The sequence below is a fragment of the Homo sapiens genome, chromosome 1 (assembly GCF_000001405.40).
Source record: "Homo sapiens chromosome 1, GRCh38.p14 Primary Assembly".
Taxonomy (NCBI): Eukaryota; Metazoa; Chordata; class Mammalia; order Primates; family Hominidae; genus Homo; species Homo sapiens.
The window spans coordinates 112,747,551-112,751,064 of NC_000001.11; the positions used below are offsets into that span (position 1 = coordinate 112,747,551).

General features: G+C 38.5%; 1 protein-coding gene across 1 annotated transcript; it reads left to right on the forward strand.

Annotated features, from left to right (window-relative positions):
* The first annotated feature begins 544 nt into the window (after positions 1-544).
* On the forward strand, positions 545-939 carry NUTF2P4 (nuclear transport factor 2 pseudogene 4). Its single transcript, XM_047437990.1, has one exon. The coding sequence runs from the start codon at positions 545-547 to the stop codon at positions 923-925; it is 381 nt and encodes a 126-aa protein (XP_047293946.1). The 3' UTR covers positions 926-939.
* Positions 940-3,514: the final 2,575 nt, after the last annotated feature.

The window sequence follows — 3,514 nt, forward strand, 5'->3', positions numbered from 1 at the left end:
CTGCTTTGACTCTTCTAGGTTCTTTATATTTTTATATCAGTTTTAGAATTAGCTTGTAAATTTCTACAAAAATCTTGCTGGGTTTTGATTGGGTTTGCATTGAAGCTATAGTTTTAATTCTGGGAAAACTGATCTCTTTTTTTTTTTTTTTTTTTGACATGGAGTTTTTGCTCTTGTCGCCCAGGCTGGAGTGCAATGGTGTTATCTTGGCTTACTGCAACTTCCATCTCCTGGGTTCAAGCGATTCTCCTGCCTCAGCCTCCCAAGTAGCTGGGATTACAGGCGCCAGCCACCAAGCCTGGCTGGTTTTTTGTATTTTTAGTAGAGACGGGGTTTCATCATGTTGGTCAGGCTGGTGTTGAACTCCTGACCTCAGGTGATCCACCCCCTTCGGCGTCCCAAAGTGCTGGGATTACAGGTGTGAGCCACCACACCCGGCTTGAAAACTGGTATCTTAATATTCAGAACCACTCTGGGTTGCTGCCATCGCTGCCACCGTCGTGCCAGCCCCTCAGGTCTCCGCGAGGCCAGGTGACGCTCAAGAATGGGAGACAAGCCAGTTTGGGAGCCGATTGGATCCAGCTTCAATCAACATTACTACCAGTTATTTGATAACGATAGAACGCAACTAGGCGCAATTTACATTGATGCTTCATGCCTTACGTGGGAAGTACGACAGTTCCAGGGGAAAGCTGCCGCTGTGGAGAAGTTGTCTAGCCTTCCCTTCCAGAAAATCCAGAACAGCCTCACGGCGCAGGACCATCAGCCCACGCCAGATAGCTGCATTATCGGCGTGGTTGTGGGCCAGCTTAAGGCGGATGAAGACCCCATCAAGGGGTTCCACCAGATGTTCCTATTAAAGAACATCAACGATGGCTTTTGCGCCAATGACATGTTCAGGTTTGCCCTGCACAATTTCGGCTGACCTCCTCTCAGCCAGGCACTAATGCTGTTTCCTCCTCCCTTCTCTTCCCAATACTATTCCTACTCCTCCAGATGCTCCAAATATCATGCACAAATAAGCAGGGCCGCGGCGGGAGTGGGCGCAGTGCGCTGCTGCCACCGAGGTGTTGTGCATGATGTTTGGACGCTAGACTAGTTACATATGACAGGAGAAGTTTGTGTTGTACCAGCGCGTGCCTTGGAAAGGCTTAAGTAATGCAAAAGGTTGTCCTTAGTTTTTGGTTTTTTTGTTTGTTTGTTTTTTTAAATCTACTGACAGGTTGCTTTAGTAACCCAAAGAAGTGAAGGAGAAAGCAGCTGCCTCACCGCCCAGACATTGATTTGTTCAGATGTTTCAATGCCTTATGATACAATAAAACCACAAAAATTTCCTTTAAAAATTCAGTCTTCTGATCTATGAACATGGAAAATATCTGCATTTATGTATGTTTTCTTAAAAATTTCTAAACAATATTTTATAGTTTTAAGTGCTCAAGTTTAGGTCTTGCAAATATTTTGCAAAACTTATCCGTAAGTATTTCATGTTTTTGATGATACAATGAATGGTACTGTGTTTTAAATTTCTGTTTATAGTTGCTTGTTGCTAGTACAGTTTATAAACATACAATTGATATGTGTATATTGGCCTTTTATCCTGTGATGTTTCTAAACATCCTTCTTGGTACCAGTAGCTTCTTAAAAGTTTCTTTTGGATTTTCTACATAGATAATCATGTTGTCTCTGAATAATGATCATTTTACTTCTTCCTTTCCAATTTGGAAGCCTTTTAGTTACTTTTCTTCCCTTATTTCAATGATTGGGACCTCTAGTACAATATTGGGTTTGTTTGTTTGTTTGTTTTTGTAGAGACAGGGCCTCGCCATATTGCCCAGACTGGTCTTGAACTCCTGGACTCAAGTGATCCTCCCACTTCAGCCTCCCAAAATGCTGGAATTACAGGCATGAGCCATTGTACCTGGCCGTTATTCCAACATTGAATAGAAGTGGCAAGAAAAGACAATGTTGCTCTTGTTTCTAATTTTAGGGGAAAACATTCAGTCTTCACCATTAACTATGTTATTAAGTGAAGGTTTTTCATAAGCATTCTTTATTACATTGAAGAAATTCCCTTCTATTCCTAGTTTGCTGAGACATTTTATTAAAAATGTGTGTTGAATTTTGTCAAATGCTTTTCTGTATTTATTGACATGATCATATTGTTTTCTTTTTCTGGTTGAATAATATAATAAATAAACAATGTCAATTGTTGAATGTTAAACAAATTTTGCATAATTCTTGGGATAAACCCCATTTGAGCATGATGCATTTTCCTTATTATTTTCTTATTATATTGCTAAATTTGATTTGCTTATATTTTGTTAAGGACTTTTTTCATCTCTGTTTATGAGGGATATTGGTTACAGTTTTTTTTTTCTTATAATATCTTTGTCTTTGTTTTGGAAACAGGATAATGCCGACTTCATAGTAGGAGTTGCAAAGTATTTACTCCTATTTTCTGGAAGAGTTTATGTGAGTTTGTACTATTACTTTCTTCAGTGATTGATAGAATTCACTAGTGCAGCCATCTGGCTGGGAGTTTTCTTTGTGGAAAGGTTTGTAATCAGAAATTCTAATTCCTTAATAATTGTAATGAATATTCAGGTTATTTCTTCTTGAGTGAACATCAGTCTTCCTTTCAAAATAATTTTTCCCTTCCAAGTTATTGAATTTATTGCCATAAACTTGTACCATCTGTAGTGATGCTTCCTCTTTCATTCCTGATATTGGTAAGTGTGTCTTCTTTCTTTTTTTTCTGTTCAGTCTGACTAGAAGTTTTTCAATATTATCTTCTCAAATAATTGGCTTTAGAGTAACTGATTTCCCTATTGTCGAGGGCTTATTTCTTCTCTTTTTTTTTTTTTTTTTTTTTTTGAGATAGGATCTCACTCTGTCACCTAGGTTGGAGTGCAATGGCAGGATCACGGCTCACTGCAGCCTCAACCTTCCTGGCTCAACTGATCTTCCTGCCTCAGCCTACTGAGTAGCTGGGACCACAGGCACATGCCACCATGCCTGGCTAATTTTTTTAATTTTTTTGTAGAGTTGGAGTCTTGCTATGTTGCCCAGGCTGGTGAGGGGGTCTTCTCTAATTATTTTGCTCATCTTTATTTTTGCTTCCCATTGCTTACTTTGGGTTTACTTTGCTTTTCTTTTTCTAGTCTCATGAGATGGAAACATAGATCACTGATTTGAGATCTTCATTCTTTTCCACTATAAACATTTGATACTCTTAATTTCCTTGGATGCTTAACTGCTTCTCACAGATTTTGCTATATTGTGTTTTATTTTTATCCAATTCAAAATATTTTCTAATTGCCCTTGTGATTTCTTCTTTTACCCATAGGTCATTAAGAAGTGTATTTCATTTCCAAATATTTGGGGATTTTCCACATATCTTTCTGTTATTGGGTTTAATTACATTATAGTCAGAGGATATACTCTATATGGTTTTATTTTATTTTATTTTTTGAGACAGGGTCTTACTCTGTCACCCAGGCTGGAGTGCAGTGGC